The following is a 23,443-nucleotide window of genomic DNA, read 5'->3' as shown; positions in this document are numbered from 1 at the left end:
GTGTGGGAGAGGCTGAGTTCAGCAAAACATGACTAGGTGGTGCTGGTGCTGTTTCGGGGTGTGGAGGCAGAAGTGGTTGATCTCCTTAATTTGAATAACTTTGGAATGGGGAGATGGTGCTTTGATAGAGGATTTGATTGGAGATTTTGATTGTAGGATATGTTGAAAGAGGGGATCAGGCTAAAGCCATTTATAGGAAATTATATTTCAGATATTGGCAGTTGAACTTAATGTATTCTATTCTCACTTCCAAAGGCTTTGAATTTTTAGTGTTATTTCTATTTTGAGGAGAGTGGCCTATGAGTACTTCTCATCCAATGTGTTCAATCCAAGGAGACTATAGGAGTTATTACTCTCCTCCTTTATAAATTCTTTCTGTGTAACAGAGATTACCCACAGTTGGCTTGAGAGTTTTACGCCACAGTTTGGTAGAAAAAAGACCACTCAGCTGGAGGTCAGAGGCTTGGGTACCAGTGGTAGCTCTGACCCTTGCCATCAACTATGTGGCCCTGGGTAAGTCTCTAACCTCTCCTGGCCTCAAGCCTCTTCAGATATAGGATGAACATATAATTCCTACATCTAGGAGTTGCTGTGTTGACTAAATGAAGTAATGCTTGTGTATCAGCTTTGCAAATTACATACCCCAAACAAATATATATTAAGATTTTATTTGCTGCAACAGAAGAAAGTGGACCATCTCTTGGTGTTTGTTTTGATGAGACTTGACCTATATAACACAGGCTCAAGTATGTTTGTTAAAGTGAATCACCTGTTGCTTTCTGGGCCATACTTGAAATGACGTGCCGTGTTACAGTGAACCCCTTTTGCACCGCCCCAAGTTCAGGTTGCCCTTACACAATTTGGGCGAGATAGATGAACACGCACCTTCCTCCTTCTTAGAAACAAAACAGTGACTTGGGTAGGGTAGACATTAGGAAAGTGACTTAGCTGGTAAATATGTGATTAATAATGGAGATTTGGCCTAAGCATGAGTGCGAGCCTCTGAATACGGATGGGTAAATGATAAATAGCAAGTCTGCCAAGTTGAGCACATTGGGGAACCTCTTGGGCTCTGTTCATGCTTGAAGTATGACTGTGCCAATACTGTACTCGCTATTTAACAAAATGAGGTCATACCAATCACACTATTTTGCACGTATTTGTTTACACATCTCTTGTCTGCTAAGCTATGAGCTCTTTGAGAGCAGGGACTGTTTCTGTTTATCGTTGTTTTCTAGCATCTAGCAGAGTGCTTAGCATATAATAAATGTGTATTGGATGAATGAATGAACGAATGAAATTCTTTGCATTTTTACTCGGTTAGAGAGATTTTTTGAAAGGCATATATGTGGGATTATTTGTGCTGTCATCTGCTAATTTCACAGATGTCTTCTCAACTGTAGACCTTCATATAAGGGAAAGACCTATTTACGCATAGTTGAGTTGCAGCTGCTGCTGCCCTGGCCTGATGGCACAGTGGTGAGGGCTGTCTCAATATCTGTCCCATGTCTCTTTCATAGAATAATACCCTCCCTCAGCCCCTTTTCCCTGTATCTTCCTTTCAAGGGTTGCTGTGTAGTTAACTCTGCCTCAGGCAATTTATCTTATCTGTACTTTTCTCTTCCTCATTCCTCTTCTCTTTTCCAGTGCTTGTCCAGTAACCTCAAGGAAATCTGTTCCAACCCTTCTTTGCTGTTGGTGTATTCCTATTCATGAGTTAAATCCCAAACAAAACATACTCTAATCAGGGCAGTCGAACTTGAAAAGAGTCAGTGAGAAATCTGAAAGGAGGAAAAGCCTGGCCACGAGGCTCCAAGTGAAATGAAAGCCATAAACACCAGCTTCGTCAACCTTGAAAGCTTCTAAAAGTGCCCCTAAGCCTCCTTTTGAATCACTAAAAGTTTTCACTTACCTCCCTGTCTTTCTCAGATAAAATTTCCTCTTTCTCAGCCATGAGTCTTAAAAAACAAAGCAAAACAAAACACTTCACACCTGCTTCTTATTCAGTTTTACACTAGTGGAAAGAGAACGGGATTTAGAGTTGGAAGGCCAACGTGAGCGTCCTGCTGCCACTTAGTAGCTGTGTGACTCTGTATAAGCTTCTAGGCTTTCTGTGCCTCAATTTCTTCAACCGTTGACAATATGACCGTGTATCATCACATAATACACTATGATGTGAAGTTTATGTAGATGAAGAACTCTTTCAAGCTCACAAAGCACCAGATACATGTCAGATATTTCTAATGTTACACCAGTTTTTAATATCATGTTTCATTTCACATACGGTACTTGATATCTCAATTACATTAGAGGCTAAGACAGTTTTCTACCAGCATGAGAACTGAAACACGATAGCATGCCTTTTATGGCGAAATGTGTTTGAACTTCAAACAACAAATATATAAAACTTATTATGCAATACACCCTATCAGCAAATTAATTGAAGGCTGCCTCTAGATTGTTAGGTGTGGACGACAGGAACTTTATTTCCTACTTCTTTTGTACATGCCATTGCTGTTTAACAGTGTTGGGTTCATAACAGGTGATTAGACAGTCTTGTTGATAGTTTGGAGAACCATCTTAATCATGACCTAGAATCATTCTTATTTCACAGCAACCTGTGTCTTGACTAATGTTAAACTGACTAATTTGTTTTGAAGCTGAGAATGAGAAATTGGAGGTCCTTCTCATAGATCTGAGATTCCTTTTTATTCCCGAGTTGGATAAATTAGGGTAAACAAAATCAAATACTTGTAAAAATACTGTACAAAGGAATGACATATGCATGCTGGTTCCCTAGCAGGGTAATTCCATCAGCGCTTTAAAAAAAAAAAAAAAAAGATGACATTCCTTCTCAACCAGCCAAAGGAGCCATTTTCCAATCTCTTATCTTGTTGGGGTGTGTTAGAGAAATATACCAAGTGCAAGAACCTGTAAGCCTGGGGTTCATTAACCTGCTTAAAACCAGTTTTACTTCAAATAGGCGATCTTTAGTGTCAACCGTTGTACTTTTGTCTGCAGGGAACAACTCAAGTTTCGTCCTGTCCTCAGTAAGCAGATGAGAGGTAGGGTTGACGTTAGAAGCCAAGTTTTTGTGGAGCAATAAGGTAAAATTATGAAGGAAGCCTATAGAATTCCAGGAGAGTTTAAAGAAAACAGTAGAATACTTTCTTAGCAAGGGTATGGGTGGGCTTCTGAGTGGAGGAAGCAGGCTAGACCTTGGGATGTTCCAGTCCAAATTCTGTTTCGGAAGCTCCCTAAATGTATGCAGAGGTTGTGTAATTGTATTCATCACTGTTGAATGTATTATTGGTTTGATTTGGTTTCACTGCTCCTAAGTTCCTTTTGTCTTATCTTGCAAGCATATCACTGTGAGTACTTAAATCATTAACAACTCATTAAAACTCTTGACCATTTTCATTTTCTACCAAGCTGAAGCCTGGGTGTGGTGGAAACTTGTGCAGGCCTGCTTGGCTGTGCCGCAACTGAGCAGCTCCTAGCAGTTTGGCTGTCAAAAGGTCACTGAATAAACAAATTGATAGGAATGGCGGACATAATCTCTGCAGTTCCTTGAAAAGAAGGAAGGGGCTGCAGGATACAGGATAGTGAAGGATCCTTCTCTTCAACCTGAAAGACTCTTCAGCAATTAACACCTTGACTCTCTTTTTATGCAACACTTTTTTTTTGTCCTCTCAGAGACTCTATTTGTACTTGGTCTTTTCTTCTTTCAGGATTTCTATAGCTTCTTTTAGAGACTCAAAGTGCTTCCAGTTTTGTTACCTCATTTATTCTCTAGGGGCAGGAATTAAGGTCTTGATGGAGATGAAGTGGTACATCACTTACTGGGCTGTGGAGGCAGTCTACAACAGGCAGTTGCAGCAGTTCTTCTGGTTACATGTTGAGAGAGAGATATATATATACACATACACACACACACACACACACACACACACACACACACACACACACACACACACACATTTTACCTTATTTAGGATCTCCCAGAAGATAATTTTAACTATTTGTAATTTCTATATATTTTAAATAGCTGATTTATGCCTCATAAGTAAAGAAAAAAGGTTTCTCTGCTTTTGACTTGAATTGTTGAACTATTTGTCCCTTGGTAAACTGATCAGTTGCCGTGCAGATTGAGAGAAAGCCATTCAATCAATCAAAATGTTTCTACTGCATTGGCATGCTTTGTAATGGAAATGAAAATGACAGCATGTTTTTGTCAGTTTAAATGAATAGGTTTCCTTTAGATCGATGCTGAAGTTGGTATTATAGGTATCTAGCCTATGAATGCTAATAATTAATTACGGAAATGCCTCATGGAAGCACTTGAACTTACCCCTGCATCTTACAGATATATCTGCCTGTTGGTGAAGTGTATGCCAGCGTTGACATTTCTTGTGAGTACTGGCATGACCCATGACACAGCCTCTGTGGTACCAGAGGGCCCTACACTGTCTTCAGAGACATTCAGTTCAGTGCATTTTAAAAAATTCATTCATTCAATCACTAATTCATTCATGTACTCAACACATGATTATGTATGCCTACTATGTACCAGGCTCTGGTCTGGTGCTAGAGATAGAGTTATTAACAAGACTGAGGAAGTCCCTGCTTTCATGGAGCTGTATTTGTTTTTTTTTTTTTTTTTTTTTTTTTGAGACGGAGTCTCGCTCTGTCGCCCAGGCTGGAGTGCAGTGGTGCGATCTCGGCTCACTGCAACCTCCACCTCCCGGGTTCAAGCAATTCTCCTGCCTCAGCCTCCCAAGTAGCTGGGACTACAGGCGCCCGCCACCACGCTCGGCTAATTTTTGTATTTTTTAGTAGAGATGGGGTTTCACCATATTGGCCAGGCTGGTCTCAAACACTTGACCTCGTGATCCGCTTGCCTCGGCCTCTCAGAGTGCTGGGATTACAGGCGTGAGCCACCATACCCAGCCCAGAATGGTATTCTTAACGTATGGACTTAAAAGGAGCATTTGCAAGGAAGAGTGGCAGTGGCAGTATTGTATGGGGAGCTCTGATTCTCATTTATGCAAGATATGTAATGCCTTTCTAAAGAATAGTGTTGCTACTTACAGCTCGGGCTTGGAGATAAGACCCACTACTCTGCAGGTCCACTTGAACTTCTTTGTAAGCCCACTTGAACTAATCTGGAAGAGTTTCAAGCTTTGGTACCCTATTTGCCAACAGCTGGGTACAAAACCACCTATTGGGTATGATTTTAGGGCTATTGTCAAGGTCCCTGAAGGTGGATAGACTGAAGACATCTCTTCTACTGGTAGCTTTATCTCTTTAAAACATTCTTTTATTGTATCTCACTCAAAAGACTAGCTGTTTATTTATACTTTAGTATGAGATTCCATTTGTTTCTTTACAAGGTTTTGATAAGGGTCTAAGACTACTAGATGCCAGTTTAGTGAGGGAGGGCACTCTGGGGGAAGTAAGCAGGTATATGGGGCTAAAATCAAAAGGTTGAAGCACCTCCAGTTTGACCTACTTAACAATTTTGCTTAGCCTTGAACTCTTGGCTTCTCTGATAATTAGTTTTCTAATTTTTTTTTTTTTTTTTTTAGACAGAGTCTTGTTCTGTTGTCCAGGCTGGAGTGCAATGGCGTGATCTCAGCTCACTGCAACCTCTGCCTCCCAGGTTCAAATGATTTTTGTGCCTCAGCCACCCCGGTAGCTGGGATTACAAGCGTGTGTCACCATGCTCTTGTAATTTTTGTATTTTTAGTAGAGACAGAGGTTCGCCATGTTGGGCAGGCTGGTCTTGAACTCCCGGCCTCGAGCAATCCACCTGCCTCTGCCTCCCAAAGTGTCGGGAGTACAGATGTAAGTCATCATGCCCGGCCTCGTTTCCTAATTTTAAAAATGAAATTGTTGGAGTAGATCATCACAATCCCTTTTAGTTAAGTCTGCTCACTTGGTAGATTTGTACCTAACTGCCCAACTGCCCAGGCTTTGGTGTTTTTCCCCATTCTGTGCTTTGGTGAGGAGATCCTGCGTTTTCTTTCCGTTTCCTTTGCCAGAAAGAGCTCCCTGTGGCAACATAGAAAATATCAACTCACTGATTTCCCCAGAAAGGGAAGAGTCCACAGCTTCAGAATGGTATCTGCCCTGGTGTCTGCATTCTGGTCAGGCGGCTGCGTTCAGCGTCTGTGCTCCCGGGCTGGGGTGCTTATCTGTAGTAGCCAGACGGCCTGGGCGCTCACAGTAAGTTACGTTTACATAGTGGAGAGGTGAGCAAGCAGATAGTCTGAAGCAAGTAGAAAGAACACTCCAGTCAAGGTTTTCCAGAGGAAAGATTTTGAACCATCGTCAATTAAATAAAACAGAATCTTCTCAAGATCACCAGAAAATACATAGCCAGGGAGATCCCAAGTATTGTGGAACCAAGCTAATTATAGTTACCTCCTATTTGCTTAGCATTTTGTGCTTTTAAAAATGGGTCTTATTTCATATCTCATCTGATCTTAAATATCCTGTGAGCTAAGCAGGTCAGAAATTATCATTATTATTATTTTTTGAGACAGAGTCTCACTCTGTTGCCCAGGCTGGAGTACAGTGGCATGATCTTGGCTTACTGCAGCCTCCACCTCCTGGGTTCAAGTGATTCTCCTTCCTCAGCCTCCCAAGTAGCTGGGATTACAGGTGTGTGCCACCATGCCCGGCTAATGTTTGTATTTTTACTAGAGATGGGGTTTTGCCATGTTAGCCAGGCTGGTCTCGAACTGATCTCAGGTAATCCACCAGCCTCGGCCTCCCAAAGTGCTGGGATTACAGGCATAAGCCATCTCACCTGGCCAGCAGGTCAGAAATTAGTAATCCCATTTAAAATATGAGAAAACTGAAGCATTAGGTAGGCTAAGTGACATGGCCAAAGTCACACAGTTAATAGGGCAGGATCAGAATTTAGAATGCATGTTTTTTCTTTTAAAAACAACTTTATTCAGGTATAATTTATGTGCAATAAAATTCACTATTTGAAACCTATAGTTCAATGAGTTTTGACAAATGGTATATACTTGTGTAGCCACAATTATAATCAATAGGTTGAACATTTCTATCACCCCAAAAAGTCCCTTCACGGTCCTTGGCTTTAATCTTCCTCTTTCCTTCCCCAATTCCCCCTGTCTTTTGATGTCTAATGCAATGCTCTTTTCACTGTCCCACACTCGGACTTGACAGCCCTTCAGCCATATCCTTCTGGAGAGAGTCCTGGCTGGCAGCCAGCCTGCCTCATCATGTTGAGTTATGAGAGTGAATGGGAAGTTAGTGGGTTGCTTACTCCATTGTTAGTTCCTTCCTTCCCTTCTTTTACCAGCTCCAGGCTATAGAAAAATTATGTGGGTTCTCCTTCCCAGGAGAGCTTGAAAAACAGGACACCAGCTCACCTGTCTGCTCTTGCTTCCTGGTAGCCTGCTGCTGGGGAGGGGTGGGAGTGAGCAGGAGGTGGTGGGGTGGTGGACTAGGCGACCTCTAGAGGATGCTCTACTTCTGTATCGTCTGCTCAGTCTCGATCTCCTTAGAAACCAGCTAGCTCTCTGCTGCCTAGTTGCAGTTCTCCAAGGCTTTAAGCAGTCTGAATTCCATATCTGATGAATGAATCCCAAAGGTGTTGAAGATCCCAGTTCTGAAAAATGAGCAAACCCCAAGTTTTATAATTGAAACTTTCATAGCAGATCGGGTCCTAGACAGATCCCTCCCTCTGTAACTGAGTTAGGTTTTGAGGGGAGATATCCCCCATTATACTGTTCCTAAATCCTAGATTTTGACTGTAGTGTTCGGGACATTCCGGAGAGTCACATTGTTTACCCAGGTGCTGGACCAGAGTTGCTCCCCGGCGTTGCTGTGTGGCATCCAGCAAAGGCAGGTTGGGAGCCTGCTCCTTTTCATAGCCAGCTTTGCCTCCATACCAGCAAGATGGAAGATAGGTGCCTTCACTAAGCCCCTCAGGTGGCCACAGGATATGATCCAGAATGGTGGTCTCTACTTTTCTATTTGCTCCTATTTAGCCACCCAGTTTGGGAGTAGCCCTGTGTATTATGATTATCTCTTTCATTCATTTTGGGCTATTTGAGTTTTTAGGGCCCTTTCCTATCCGTTATCTCCTGTTCTCAATAAGTCTGATATCTTCTGTTAGAGTAAAAGCTCTATCTCCTCTGATCTAAGACAGCTGCAAGGACAGGACAGACTCAGATTTCTTCTCTGCAAAGGCTCCTGTTAAATCTTGGGCCCTATGGTATTGATTTTCTTCTAGTTATCTCTACAAATTTTTCTGGCTTTGCTGAAGGGGGAAAAAATCACCAGACTGCATGCTTGAGCTTCAGGTTTCTCCTTAGCTGGCAGCCTCAACCAGAAAAAAATTCTTTTTGAGAGCACTGAGCCTCAGGCACTGGTTTTGCCCTGTACTCCCCAGTGTCTAACTCTTAACAGCTGGTGGCCATCCCTGGCCTCCATCTTTACTTTGCTGCATACCTCAGCTTGATGAGTCCTTGATGTTGATTCCTTGACCTTACTGCCATCTTCTTTCCCCTGCAGGGGCCTCTTGAACTATGGGGAGCTTAGTAAACAGTGGGCTTCCTGTGTTTTGTCTACCAGCAAAGCTGGGTACCTGAATCCCCATGTGACAGTGCTGCATGGCTGACTCCAGTATTCTTCAGGAGACACAGTAGCAGGAACAGAGACTTAGTTGAAAGCCCCAAGTGTGTATATCTGAAGTGTTTGTACAAAGATGGGGGCAGAGAGCTGCTCATGTCTGCAAAGAGGGACAGTCCCACTCTTGCAGAGGTGACAGTCCACAGCAATGCTGTCTCTTCCATTTCTCATTGGGGTTAGGTTTCCAAAGGTCCATGAAGGTTTTATTCGTTTTCGTGCCCCAAGAGAGCTTTCCATAGTAATGAAAGAAATGTTAAGAACTGCAGGAAATGGGTAAGATTATAGATGGCCAAGGAAAGTGGCAAGGAACAAAAAAAGACAATGTATTTTAAAGGAAAACTTTTTGGAGCTATTTCATGGATGCTGCTGGTCACCTGGGGAAATCTTGGATTTATTTGACAGTTCCCATTTTCCACTTAGGCTTCATGTATACATGGGTTTGGGAGCTAGGAAGGGGAATAATACCCTCCCCAAAGAGCTGTGGCTGAGCTCCCAGTCCCCAGGACCAAATTGAGCTGTTGCAGCTGGGAAGCAGATTGGTGCAGCCCTCCCCAAAATGCTCACAGCCCTGTGGTTATTTCCTGTGTTTTTCCCCTTGTATATTCCTCTTTGCAGCTTGTATCTTCCCTTTCTACAGGAAATCTCAGCCGCCTAGCCCATGGGCCTGGTTGGGCTGCTGTCTCCTTCCTTTATTCTTCATAGCCCTTAATCACTTCTCATTAGTGGACTCCCTGGGAGGGAGGGAAGAAGGGTTTTGTTCTGATGCCGGCCTCCTGGAAGGGCTGTATCCCACCAAGACAGATGGCTGCCTAGCCTATTTTTAACTGTCTCTGGGGAAGAAGATTCCACAACCTATTTTGAAACCTGTTTCATTGATTGACAGCTTTCCAATTAGGAATTTCTTGCTGATACCTGACTTAAAATTTGACAGCTATAGTTGAAACTCATTTCCTTTTGTTTCTTTGAAATCATAGAGTTTGGGAAAGAGAGGGATTTTAATTAGAAGTCGTCTAGGCCTACCCCTAATGAAGAAAATAAGTTGAAGTTGAAACTGAAAATGCCTCCTCATCCTCTCATTGAGGATCCCATCAGTTTTGGGATCTGCCTTTGAAATCACACATTTGGGTACCATTCTGTAAGAATCAATTTAATTTTCAGGGGGAAAAAAGTGTTCTGGAGCTGGAAGTTTAGAACGCAAGTAAGTCGTTAATACGACTTACTCTATTTTGTTTGTAGTGAGAAAGTTAAATGGTGCTTATAGAATTACCTTGCCTCTATTGGCAGAGAGTAAAAATAAACTGAGCTCTCAATATACAAAGACTTCCCCAGTTCTTTTCCTTTCGCTCATATCAATGCCTGTCTTTAAAGAAAAAAAGAGGGTTATTTTTCTCTCCTCCATCAGTGGGATTCTCTGTATTTTAAATATCTTTTTTAAGACTAATGTCAGGTGACTCAAATTCCACTGAAGTCTCTCTTTTTAGTTGTCTTTCTGCCGCTGCAGACTTCTCTTGACATGAGACTCTGTGCTGCTTCTCTTGACAGACTGCATCTCGATGGCAGAACACTGGTAAGAAGCTAATGATGTTGGTTCCGTTTCAGTGTGTGGAATCTTGTTATGTGGTATAGAAGTCCAGCATTCTAGGCGAATAAACCGAAAGGTATTAGACTGACTATAAAGGGGTCTTGGGAAGGGATCTTACTCCTCTTTGATAGTTGGTACTTGTACCTTTTCTCAACACCTGCGACATTTTCTTTTTCCAGAGATAGCATCACATGTCAAGGTGGAACATCAGATGCTTGGATCAACCAATGAGTTGTATCCAGACCTGTGACCAAAACTGAGGTGGCATTTGGGATATCATTCACCTTTTGGTCTGTGCTTCAGGCCATGAGTAGTTAGTGTATAGCACATGTTCACAGGCATTAGCATCTCAGTCTTTTGAAATATGGCTAAAATTTAGTATTCCACCTGCACTTGATCTACTTGAGAAGTATTTAACAGGTCTATTTTATAAAATCCCAAGGCAGCCTTTTCTGCTACCTGCTTGGATTGGGCTGCATGAATATAAACTCATTTTGCTATCAGCCTGAGAAATAGGCAGGTATACTGGAAACACCTTCTTATCTGGGGCAATTGGACTAGTAATTGGTCAGTTAATTCCAAAAGTCAGTTAAAACAGAGAGTCTTTAAAAACGAAGACAAAACTGTTCTCAAGCATTTTATTTATTTTAATTTTTTTTTGAGACAGGGTCTCTCTATTATTGCCCCAGCTGGTCTCTAACTCCTGGGCTCAAGCCATCCTACAGTCTCAGCCTCCTGAGTAGCTGGGATTACAGGCACATGTCATCATCTAGCTAGCATTTTATTTTAACTTAAAAATATGTAAATGCCAGCCTGGCCAACATGGTGAAACCCCGTCTCTACTAAAAAAAAAAAAATACAAAAATTAGCTAGGTGGGTGGCAGGTGCCCGTAATCCCAGCTACTCGGGAGGCTGAGGCACGAGAATCTCTTGAACCCGGGAGGCGAAGGTTGCAGTGAGCCGAGATCACACCACTACACTCCAGTCTGGGCGACAGAGTGAGACCCTGTCTCAGAGGGGGGAAAAAAAAGTGAATGTACACATATTCACAAATCTTTTTATGTGGGCCAGGGCTTTTTCTTAAAGTGTGGATCTTTCAAGTAGAGTTCAGTTGACTTTCTTTCATAAATTATACACTTAACATTTGATCTGTGATTTCCAGTTTAAGTGAACCAAGTTCTTAAATACATTTGAGAAATGAAGGGCAGAATTCTTCCAGATTTTTAAGCTCCACCACTACAACCTTTTACTGTTGTCTTGCCCATATCTAATTCAGCAGCAATTTTTTTTAGCAACTTGCCTTCAAATTTCTTCCAAGCATTCAACCTCTTTTTCATAGAAATATCTTTTTTATACTCATATTTCACTTGTTTGTATTATATAATAATTTAATATGTAATTAAAATAACAAGTATACCTAGCGTGAACTAACTACTGACCCTGAAGCAGCCAACCTGGCTGGTGGGAGTAGATGTGAGTAATACACAACCAGCCTCCAGTGTGCTATGCAACTCAGCCAGTTTATTTTGAAGAGAAGTTGGTATGTCACATAAGCTGGCAAGTCAGTTAAGAAAGTATCACCCGTATGTTTCTCTCCTTTTTGCCTCTACTGATTGCTATGGGACTTTTATCTTAGCACCTGTTATCATAATTCCTCTATTAAACTATAAGCTTTTGGATGGCAGGGCCCTTTTCTTACTTATGTGTGTATCTCCAGTGTCTCCTGATATAGTGTCTGGCCTATAGTAGGTGCTCAGAAGTACTAACTAGACATATATATGTCTTAGTTCAGTGCTATATATTTGTTGGTGCCAAACAGCTCTTTATTGAATAGATGGATATATGTATGTATTACTGCACATAATGTACTCAAAATCCAAATGAGAACCTATAGAGTATCTATTTTTTAGGATTTTTGCCATACTGGTTCCTTGTGTTTGCATGAAAAACTGAAAATTGACTGTGGAGCTTTTAGGCTTGGGTTGGAACAATATGTATTTTAGAAAGATTACTCTCTTAATAATAACTACAACTCATTCTTAGAATAATAAAAATCATATCAGTACTAAGTAATATTTATCAACTGCTTACTGTGTGCCAGGCAGTATGCTAAGTGTGTATGTTATCTTAGTTCATATCTACAGCCCTGAAAGAAGACACAACAAGGCATGTTGTGTTATTATTTCCATTTATAGATGAGGTCTCTTTGGGAGCCAGCAAGGAGGTGGTACAAGGTCTAATCTTTGAACAGTTGAGAAATGGGTAGTTTGTTTTCATAGTGCTGCTTCTTATTTTCAAGGTTGAGGGCCCTTCTAGGCGAGGTGAAAGGAACCCTTAAATCTAGAGACTGCCTAGAGGGAGAAACTGACACTTACTTTTGGCTTTCTGGGAACCAGGGTAGGTCCTCTCTTAATTGAAGAGAATTAATAGGATCCTGTGGCTGGGCATTGGGCAGAGTGTTTGAATAGCTGCTGGCCATGGTAGGTAATGCCAAAGTGGCAGTGAAAACAAGCTACTGTGGGACATTAGACCCTGCCTGTCACTTTTCTTCCCAGGCCACTCACTTGTTGGAGGGCCCTTCTGAAACTCCTCTTGCTCTGTAGTCTGGATGCTTGTGAACAAGCTGCTTGCAGGTGCCGAAACAAACAGCAGTGTGGGTCTCAGGGCCTGGGCTTGGAAGCTGGGCAGAGGGTGGAAGGGCTCCATTTGGGAGCAGTGTTGATGGAAGTGATTTTTCTAGCTGAGGTGCGAGGTTGGTTCTGAGCTGAATTTAAGAGAAGGCTATGGTCTTTTGTCCTTCCACACTTTTGGGACCCAGCAGATACTACAAATGCAATCTTTACAAACCCACTCACTGCCAGAAATGAATCTAAAAAAGTGCTAGTCTGTGGGCCTCTTGGTCAGGAAGGTGACAGCAGTGGCAACAGCAGAAAAACCAATCAAACAAACAAAATGCCTGTGGGCTGGCAAACAGAATTTCTTTGCAAGGTTAATTCTGAATGTCAGACTCTTTCCTTTTTTGTAGGTTGGAAGGAGGCAGCAGCAAAGGGAAAGAGATAGCAGTTGGAGGCCACCTTCTTTAGTCCCCCTTCCCCAAAGAAGAGCCGTAGCTAGTATTGTGGTTGGCATTAAATTGATATAAAGACACCCTGGCCTGGAAGTTAAAAGTTTTTTTTCTTTCTTTTTTGAGACAGAGTCTTCCTCTATCGCCCAGGCTGAAATGCAGTGGCATGATCTTGGCTCACTGCAACCTCCACCTCCTGGGTTCAAGCAGTTCTTGTGCCTCAGCCTCCCGAGTAGCTGGGACTACAGGCATGCGCCACCATGCCCGGCTGATTTTTATATTTTTAGTAGAGACGGAGTTTCACCATGTTGGCCAGGCTGGTCTTCAACTCCCAACCTTAGGTGATCTGACTGCCTCAGCCTCCCGAAGTGCTGGGAATTACAGGCATAAGCCATTGCTCTCAGCCGAATGAAAAGATTTTTGATGTACTTTTTAGCCAGAGGGAGTTTATGCTGCTGTGTGGCCAGTTTTTCCACATGTCTGCAACAGTTACAATTTTTGACAGATATCTTGAGAAGATTATAGATTTTGATAGAGGCAGTAACTTTATTAGCAAGACTGATTTCATATTAGAATGAAATCTCTGGGTCTTTTTCGGATTACTTTATGTTCCTTAAAAAGAAAGACATTGGGCCAGGCACGGTGGCTCACGCCTGTAATCCCAGCACTTTGGGAGGCCAAGGCGGGCGGATCACGAGATCAGGAGTTCGAGACCAGCCTGACTAACATGGTGAAACCTCGTCTCTACTAAAAATACAAAAAAATTAGCTGGGCATGGTGGTGGGCGCCTGTAATCCCAGCTACTCAGGAGGCTGAGGCAGGAGAGCTGCTTGAACCCGGGAGGCAGAGGTTGCAATGAGCTGAGATCGCACCATTGCACTCTAGCCTGGGCAACAGAGTGAGACAACGTCTCAAAAAAAAAAAAAAAAAAAAAAAAGACATTGACTGGTCTTGGCAGTCTTTGGGTTTTATTCTGAACTGTGTAGAGTTGGCCAACTCAGGAATTCTAGACTAGGGAGAGAATTTTGCAGTGCTTTTGAGCATGTCTGTGTAAATGTGCTGTACTCATCACTATGGAATGGTTCTCCAGTTTGGCTGTAAACTCATGGAGCTGGCTCCTTGAAATGCTAGCGTCCTAGCCATGCACGCATGCAAGCAAGCAGAATTTGTTCACGCCTAGGCCATATGTGGATGTCACTCTTCTTCAGTTTCATATCCAGTTTCTGCTTGCCTGAGCTAGAAATGAAGTCATCCAGCACTCACAAAGCCTCTGGCCTTAGAGGCTTAAAAACAAAAACAAAACAAACATAGCAACTATCCCATACCACCTTAGTGAGGTGGATATTATTGTCCTCTTTTCAGAAGTGAGGAAACTAAGGCTCAGAAATTAAGATACGTGCTCATGGTCACACAGGTCCTAGGAACTGGGATCCAGGATCCCAAAGTCTGCCTCTAAAGCCTATGCGTTTCCCATAGGGCTGCTGAACCTGACCTTTGCACTTTGCCATTTATGTTACTTCTTCCATTCCTTGGGAGTAAATTGAAATGGGTTTGGGTTGGCGCTGTGGCTCACACCTGTAATCCCACCACTTTGGGAGGCTGAGGTGGGTGGATTGCTTGAACCCAGGAGTTCGAGAGCAGCCTGGGCAACATAAGGAGACCCCATCTCTACAGATAATTTAAAAATTAGCTGGACTTGGTGGCGCCCACCTGTGGTCCCAGCTACTTGGGAGGCTGAGGCAGGAGGATCACCTAAGCCCGGAAGGTCGAGGCTACGGTGAGCTGTAATCATGCCTCTACACTCTGGCCTGGGTGAAAGAGCAAGACCCTGTCTCAAAAACAAGCTAACAAAAACCCCCCTAAAAACAAAAGAAATGGGTTTGAGAGAGAAGAAGAGAGAGAAACTTAACTGTGGGTGTTCGTAGTTAGGTACTCGTGGAGGACCACCTACCATCAGACGGGAGTGGCTAGCCCTTGTTTTCATTTATGCAGACAGACTTCCTTTTCTACCTCTGCTGGTTATACCAGGTACAAATAGGGATGCTGCAGTAGAGCAGAGGAGCTAAACGTGGCTTCCTCTGACTTACATAATAAAATAAGAATCTCCCCAATGGCCCTTTCCTGTCTGCTGGTCTCTGTGATGAAGTGGGCCACCCTAGGGACAGCTTCACTTAAGGGCCTCCCCAGGGTTATCAGGTCCACAAAGGGTCTTGGGATCAAATGTACAGCTAAATTGATGAGATCAATTCATTAAGATAAAGACTTCTACTTCCGAAGCAGTATGGTGCTTGGGTCAGTGTCTCTTGAGAAATTAATGTATAGATAAAATATTTCATATTAGGGAGAGCTCTGTGCTGCCCTTTCCCAAAGCTTTGGTTATTTGATGGGAGGGGAAGTCTTCTCGAACCTATGTCAGAATATTCCGCTTTGAAAGATGAGGGTTTTTCTTGAGGCTAGTTTTGTACCTGCTGTTTCTTTTAGAAATGATTGCTTTATGGATTTAAAAGGTGACCCAAATGACTTTTTTATTATTATTATTTTTTAATGCTGGGAGGAGTTTGCGTGTGTGTGTGTGTGTGTGTGTGTGTGTGTGTGTGTGTGTTTTATCTCCTTCAACTCTGACCACCTGGAAGTCAGCCTAATCTCTGCCCTCGTGTTGATCTTTAATTCAACATTTAATTACCTATCTTGGTATCCATATGAATTTGATTGTTTTTTTGGCTTTTTTTGAACTCATAAAAGGTATCCAAGTTCCTGGAGGGCATAGTGCCCATCTCCTCCCATCCACCAGTGGACATTCTTTTCCAAAAGACACATGGCAAGTACCCCTCACACCTGAGCTGTGGTGGTTTGGGTTTGTCCCCTTTGCTTTTGTTTGCAGAACACCTTTTACTCCTTTTGCACTTGATGGTTCTGTTGTACTTGTAAGGAAAATCAGTTGAAATAAAAAGATATTAAATTGAGAGACAAAAAGATGTTGCCACACTCCCAGTTAGAGGCAGACTTTAGTCTATATTTTCAGATTTATTTTGATTATAAAGTGTAGTCTCCCCCCGCCACCCCCTGTCTGCTTTTCTTTGTAGTTCTGTAATCAGGAGTCTGTTATTCTCTTTCCAATGCTATAATTAATAGTCTGGTCTAAAATATAAAAACCTCAAAGTTATTAATGGAAATGTCACTACTCACCTCATTTTTACAGAGGCCGCTTGGCCTCTAAGTCATTGAGTCTTTGGACAAACATCATTTAGCATTGACTATGTGCAAGAACTGTGCTGTATGCTGGGGATTTAAAGACAAAGAAATACAGTTTCTGCCTCTGAGCGTGCATCATCTCACTGGTGAGGCTCACATACAAACAAACAGGCAGAATTCAGTGTAATTGAGAAATGTTGTAATTGAGTTATATATAGGGTTCTTATTTTGCACGTCTCTGTAGAGTAGTAGTTTCCATACTGTGCGGTATTTGCCTGTTCACTTGCCTGTTCCTTTGTGAGCTCTCGAGGGCCAGGAACAAATATGGATATAAACATGGAACCATGAGCGAATAGATGTTTCTTATCAATGCTCGGCCTGTCTTACGAGGTGTTCCATAGTGGAACCACCTGGGAAACAATTGATTTTGCATTCTTGTTTGTTAGCTAAATGCCTGATTTGCTTTTTAGGATTCTTTTAGGTTAAATCATATGAAATTACCATTTTGTTGATAATTTCACATGGTTCCATGTAATAAAAAGAGATCAATTTTACAGACTTCTGGTTTCAGGTCATGCACAGAGGTGAAGTTCTGCACAGGTACTGGGCATCCTATATGTATTTCCACTAGGTTACTATTTCCGAGTGTGAGTCTCTATTTGGAACTTCAGAGAGGGAGCCTGTGGCCCAGCTACTCCTGTGTCACTCAGCTCTGGAGTGGAATTCTTCTAGGTAGTGCCTGTTTGTAGACTGGACAGGGAATAAAACCACTACTCTGTGCCCGTTTATAAATATTTGCATTTACCTTGGAGAATGTACAAGACCTGGGCTTCATGCGTGTGTGAGAGAAAATAGCAAGTGAAAAGGATGTGTACACAGCAGCATGAATGGGGTGCTATTCTTAGCTGGGTCTCTAACCTAGAGAACAGGAAACAAGATGCTTCTGAATGTGGACTATGGCTGCCCTATGCTAGAGCCAAGAGGCTTCGAGTCATAGGGAAACTCATGACAGTTGCTAGTGTCCTTCAGACCTTCCTCTTTTGTAGAAAGTTTCATTCTTTGTGTGTCTCAGACTGAGATGGAGGAGGGGTGACTCTGTTTTCTAAGGGATCTAGAGAGAAAGGGCAGATGTAGTCTTGAGCAGTGGGCTTCTCAGCTGTGCTGCTTCTTCCACGGAGACCATCTGGATCTACTCGGTTGATGGAGCAGCTCCTCTCATTCTGAGTGGGTTTAGCATTTGAGAAATAGAGGGGCACCTTGGCTGACTGGACTAAACCTTCTTTGGCAATTTATAATAAATGCTCTCTGATTTATTGTTTATTCTTTCACATTGAGGTTGAACCTGATTTGCCTTTGAAAGTTAAGAGCAGGACTAGGACTAGAACTAGAAATGCCTGATGTATACTGTAGCACACAGTGGAGCGTTGTCCACTTTTTAGTCACTTGGTGACTACCGATTAATTGATTTGAATATATCAATGTCTGGCAGTTGGACCAATTACTCAGCTTCCCAATCTGATGGTGTGGTTGATAGAAATGTTTCCTGGTGGCATTTTCCCACAGGATTAGGATGGTGGTGGCATTAGCCAGGATCTCTTTTGTCACTGCCACTGTTACTGAATGATCTGTATTTTGAACTTTCTTGACTTAGTATAGTATTATACATCCAGCCCTTACCCTAAATGCTTATTATTTAATATTGACAACTTACAGGTTAATGTTTTAAATCTTTTTTTTTTTTTTAAGGCAGAGTCATGCTCCGTCACCCAGGCTGGAGTGTGATCTCAGCTCACTGCAACCTCTGCCTCCCAGGTTCAAGTGATTCTCCTGCCTCAGCCTCCCGAGTAGCTGGGATTACAGGCGCCCGCCACCACGCCCAGCTAATTTTTGTATTTTTAGTAGAGACGGGGTTTCACCAGGTTGGCCAGGCTGGTCTCAAACTTCTGACCTCAGGTGATCCAACTGCCTCGGCCTCCCAAAGTGCTGGGATTACAGGTGTGAGCCACCACGCCCGGCAAAACAGCATATCTTTAATTAGAACCCAACACGAGATGGTATTTCTTCAAAGAGGGCCTGAAATTGTGGTATTACCTCCAAGCGAACTTTATGAAAGGGATCGGGTCTGTATATAAACCATTTAATTTCTCCATTTCTCTAAATGGGAAAAAAAATTTGTTTTTGTTTCTTTTTTACTCAGAACACCAAGCCCATTCAGCCACCTCAAAAGAGGTTATAGCCAGGGCGCCCCTCTTAGAAGAAAAGACATTTTTTTTTTTTCCTTAAGATTGGTGCATGGAAGCTTAGAGCCTCATTTCACCACCTCTCCTGATTTGATATAGATTTATGAGAAATGAATATAGGGAAAATACCGGCTGTAGACTTGACAACTGTTAACTTGGTGAACAGCATGTTCTTGTTTATGTTAACTGTGTACTTTGACTGTTCAAGATCCCCATTACTTTTCACTTGTCATGCCACATCATTGCTGCAAGTTAGCCTCCTTAGATAAGATACATGGCAGTTAGCTATCTTCACCTGATGGGGAGGAATAGGGTAGAGAAAAGAATGTGACCAGCTGTTGTCAGCTTCTCCGTGGAAGTGGTAACCATGTCAGAGCCAGGCCCTGGAGACCTGGCTTGGAAAAGAATGAAGTTTTCCTACTAGGAACTTCTGTAGAGCCCTAGACCTTTCCATCTTAGTGCCGAGTTAAATGAGTCACGTAGCCTTCAGGTAAAGTCATTTCCAAGGGATTGTGAGAATGTGCCCAGGTTGGTTTGGACTGTGTCACACTTACTTGTACTGGCTTATCTTTGCTACTAATTTTTTTGTGTGTGTTATTGTTCTTCTAACTATTGTTGATGATTTGAGTGATGCGAAAGATTTTGATGATGGTAACTTTCTATAAGAGATGTAGAAGCAAGAGGCCCAGAGAATTGATCTTGCCCTTCATCTGACACATTGTGACCAGTTTGTTGAACATGATAAGGCCTGGAATTGTCACTTCGAATGTCTTCTTAATCTGGGAAATTTGAAGAGGTCTGCAGCAGGGAGGCTGGTCAGGGAAGTAACTTTGCAAAATAAAATCTTCATACTGATGCAATCCCAGAGAACTTGCCTTTGGGTTTGTGATTGCAAAGTGTTGAATCAGTCTTTGGTGTGGATACAGAATATTTGAAGCTAGTTGAAGTGTAGGGGTGTTGGGACAGGAGAAATGATGAGATGAAGTCTTATCAGAGGCTGAAGGTCACCGGATATTTTCCTAGTAAAGGTTCCTTTGATGTGGAATTTATCCGTTTAGCCCACCTAATTGGAGTTATCTGGTTTCTGTCCCTGAAGATTCTGCTGTTGGCCCTGGACTACTTAATTCTGTTTGCTCACCAAATCGGTGACATAAGTTACAAGTTATGAGATTTAATGTTTAGAGTATGGTTTTGGATTATAGGTTCCTTGCATTCTTAAGTTAGCAGAAGGAAACCAAGAGAAGCAGCATGGTACAAACAAAACCCCAAACAAGTGCTAATGTCAGAGAGACCTGGGTTCAAATCCTAGCTATGCCACATATAAGTTTTATCATGAGAGTAAATTGCGTAATCTCCCAGAACCTCAGTGTTCTTGTTGCTAAATGTGCACAAAATAACTGGCTATCTTATAGAGACGTTGTGAAGTTAGAGTGAGTGAAGGTGACATGCCTAGTAAGGACCTGGCACGTAGAAGCACACAATCAGCTTTAACTGTTTCTGTTATTAGCAGTGGACTTAGCACTGTATAAATCTGTCCCTCCATGCTTCCCACTTGCCCATTTGTCAAATGGACTTGACATTCCTTACTCAGTGGTTGACAGGGAGCCAAGTGAGATATCTGAGCTGTTGAGGATGGATGTGTATCTCAAGATCCTGGCATTCAGACTGGGGCTCTACAAGTCGCACTATATTTGCAAGTTGTAGCAGAACTATATTAAAAACATGCCCTGCCTGTTTCCCCTCGTTGGTCCTCCCATTCAGAGAGGGGCTTTCTGGCCTTGTGCTTTAAATAGTCCTCAGACGGTAATGTGGATAGTAGATGAACACAATTCTTGTGAATCCATTTGCCTTGTGCTTGGGAGTTCTATTCTTAGACCACAATCACCGGAATAGAAAGCCTCCGACCCCACATCCGAACTGAAGCCATGTGGGCCTGGCTAATGGATTTCTTTGGGAAGCTGGGACAAAGGACCGGGTCTGCTTCTGTCATTGACTAGGCCAGGTATGGAGCAGTCCATTAGAAACCAGTCTCCTCCCAATTGTCTGGAGTTTATGAGCCTGGCTTACCTGGGATCATTTTCATGTTATGATCCTAATTAAAGTTCAGCCTGTTTACTCTGCTCCAGTCAAGGAGTTACAGGGGGAATCAAGGCAGATAAGATGTTTATGGGTGAACCCTGTTTCATTTTCCTCGGATCCACAATTAAAGAATTAACAGCACTTGTTATTTATTGAGCAGAACCGTGGGCGGGAGGAGGGCTTTAGTGCTTGTTTTGCTGCTTCTGTGAGCCCAGGGCTGCGCCAGCAGCATTTCACTTTTAATCCTTAGTATTGTTAGGCCTATACTTCCACCTATAGAGGTGGCAATTGAGGATCTTGACTTGCCCAGGGGTTCATGATCACGAACCTTCTACTACTTCATACCTTGAACACCATCTCTTCTAATAGATGGGCAACAATATGGTCATTTCTGTGAAGATACTGGTGACTTAAAAGCATTACTAAATGTTTATTAAACACTTGAATATAGTAATTATATATGTGAGAATGGATTCACATCTAGGGCTCCTGACAGTATCTGTCAAGATGCTGGCCCCAAACCCTGAGTTTGTCATGTTATGTGGGCATATTTGGTTGCCCAACTCTGAAGCCAAATGATGCCAGGGAGAGAGAGCCTCCATGCTGTGGGGGTGTTTCTAAGAGCAGCCTGGTCCTTAATTATCCTACTAAAGACAGTGTCCTCTGTGATCTCAGACTCATAACATCCCTGTTAAGATAGGAGGGGGCTGAAATCATTTGTTCTCCTTCACATTGAGGGGAGACTCAGGCACAGATGAGAGACAGAGGCAGAGAAGTTAAATAATTAGTCCAAGGTCACATCAAATGATTTCCAACTCAGCTGATGAATCTGTCTAGGTCTCGGTCTCCAAATATTGCAGCTTCCCTTACAATGTAATTTGATCTCAAACACTTTACGTGTCTTATTTTTCTTCCTCCTTTTTCTATTTTGGTAAATAAGATGTTTTTTACACCTACTGCCAGATTAATGTTGGGTTTTAATTTAGCCCTTCAAGATGATCAATGACTTAACCGAGGAAACTGCTGCCAGAATGTAGTTTATAATGTACCTTTTTTCCTATACTCGGTTTTCTGCTTCTGTATTTTGTACATTGTCAGTCTCTGTGGGTTAAGAACTTTGGGACTCTCAAGGGTCATCTTGACAGAGGAGCTTCTGCAGTTGGGAATTGTTACCTTTCTCAGAGCAGTGCTATTGGGAAAAAAAAATCTAAGCATTTTTGTTCTCAGCTTCACAGAGGAAGTGAAGCACATTCAAGGGTAGCCCATTGGCTTCTCGTATAGGAATAGTATAGATTTGGCTTATTTTATTCCTTGCTTATTATAATATTATTATTCATAAGCATACCTTTTCAGTTACCCTCATGATTTACTATCTGTAAGAGCATAAGCTTACTGTTTGTGTAATATTTGTCCCTGTATTTTAGATGGGAGTTGCTGAGGTGGTATAAGGTTTGGTAACTGCATCCGGCCTCTCAGGGAAATAACCAAGTTGTTCAGATTCTTAGCTGTATTATGTGAAGTTGTTTGTCAGCTTCATTGCTTACTACTGTGAAATAAGTTATAAAGAGGAACTTTTAATAAAAATAAATGGATTCACTCAGGGGAGGGGTATTCATTGTTGGTGAAATATGTCGAGGACCAGATGCTTTTTGGTCTCCCAAAGACCTATCAAACTGCAGATCTTTTGGCTTTGTAATATATTCAGTTCCACATTTATTCATTCAAGATTTTTGTGTCCTCATTATGTGCCAAGTACTGGGTTGGACACTAGGTGACAGAGATGAACAAATCCCTAATCTTGGGATTTCACAGTGGATGTTGGAATTTAGTACCGTTTAGCTTCATTAGGTTCTGCAGTAGTCCCAAGATTTTCCAAGATCATCCTGTCCTCCAGTGTTCTATTGATTCAACTTCAGAATATATCCCAGACTCTGTCCCTCTTTACTCCTCACTGCTGTTGCCCTGGGTCCATCTGCCATCATCTCTCACCTGGATTATCTCAGTAGTTTCCCAACTGGTTTCCTTGTTTCCATTCTTGCCTCCTTCTGTCTACTCTCAATATAACAGCTAGAACAATCCTTTTACAATGGAATTCAGATCATGTTTACCCCTCTGTTCAAATTCTCCAGTGACTTTCCAGTTTTTACATGATCTGGCTCCTACTACCTGTCTCACTGTGTTTCCTACTACTCTCCTGCCCTTTCTCCTCTTAATAAACACTGGGCTCATGGTGTTTCCTTTAACATGCCAGGCATGCTTGACCCTGTCCTGTCTCAGGGCCCTGCTGTTCCCTCTGCCTGGAACATTCTTCCCATAGTGTCTGCATGGCTCGCTCTCTCACTGCTTTGGATTGCTGCTCAAAAGTCACCTTATCAAAGGCCTTTCCCAAAGGTTTAAAAATCATTCTACTATAAAGACACATGCATACATATGTTTATTGCAGCACTATTCACAATAACAAAGACTTGGAACCAACCCAAATGCCCATCAATGATAGACTGGATAAAGAAAATATGGCACGTAAGCACCATGGAATACTATGCAGCCATAAAAAAGAATGAGTTCATGTCCTTTGCAGGGACATGGATGAAGCTGGAAACCATTATTCTCAGC

The 23,443-nt window shown here is 42.3% G+C and overlaps 1 protein-coding gene across 9 annotated transcripts in view, besides 2 other annotated features; it reads left to right on the top strand.

The window, feature by feature from the left end:
* The window catches only part of SRGAP2B (SLIT-ROBO Rho GTPase activating protein 2B), a 208,093-nt gene that overhangs the window by 22,507 nt on the left and 162,143 nt on the right, over window positions 1–23,443 (top strand). Inside the window, exon 3 of one of the 9 annotated variants that reach the window (NM_001385228.1) lies at window positions 10,155–10,240. The exons of the other annotated variants lie outside the window; for them this stretch is intronic. Coding sequence (NP_001372157.1) covers window positions 10,155–10,240 — 86 coding nt within the window. The remainder of the gene's footprint in view (window positions 1–10,154; window positions 10,241–23,443) is intronic. 9 annotated transcript variants of the gene reach the window in all.
* Window positions 2,614–3,606: an enhancer, noted in NCBI's record as "NANOG-H3K27ac-H3K4me1 hESC enhancer chr1:143938883-143939875 (GRCh37/hg19 assembly coordinates)". NCBI's record gives its function as "activates a minimal SCP1, AML or CMV promoter by ChIP-STARR-seq in naive H9 embryonic stem cells {active_cell/tissue: H9 hESC(naive)}" and the evidence as "EXISTENCE:reporter gene assay evidence [ECO:0000049][PMID:30033119]".
* Window positions 8,126–8,889: an enhancer, noted in NCBI's record as "OCT4-NANOG-H3K4me1 hESC enhancer chr1:143944389-143945152 (GRCh37/hg19 assembly coordinates)". NCBI's record gives its function as "activates a minimal SCP1, AML or CMV promoter by ChIP-STARR-seq in primed H9 embryonic stem cells {active_cell/tissue: H9 hESC(primed)}" and the evidence as "EXISTENCE:reporter gene assay evidence [ECO:0000049][PMID:30033119]".

The sequence above is a fragment of the Homo sapiens genome, chromosome 1 (assembly GCF_000001405.40).
Source record: "Homo sapiens chromosome 1, GRCh38.p14 Primary Assembly".
NCBI classification, from domain to species: domain Eukaryota; kingdom Metazoa; phylum Chordata; class Mammalia; order Primates; family Hominidae; genus Homo; species Homo sapiens.
This window is presented reverse-complemented; position numbering and strand designations above follow the sequence as displayed.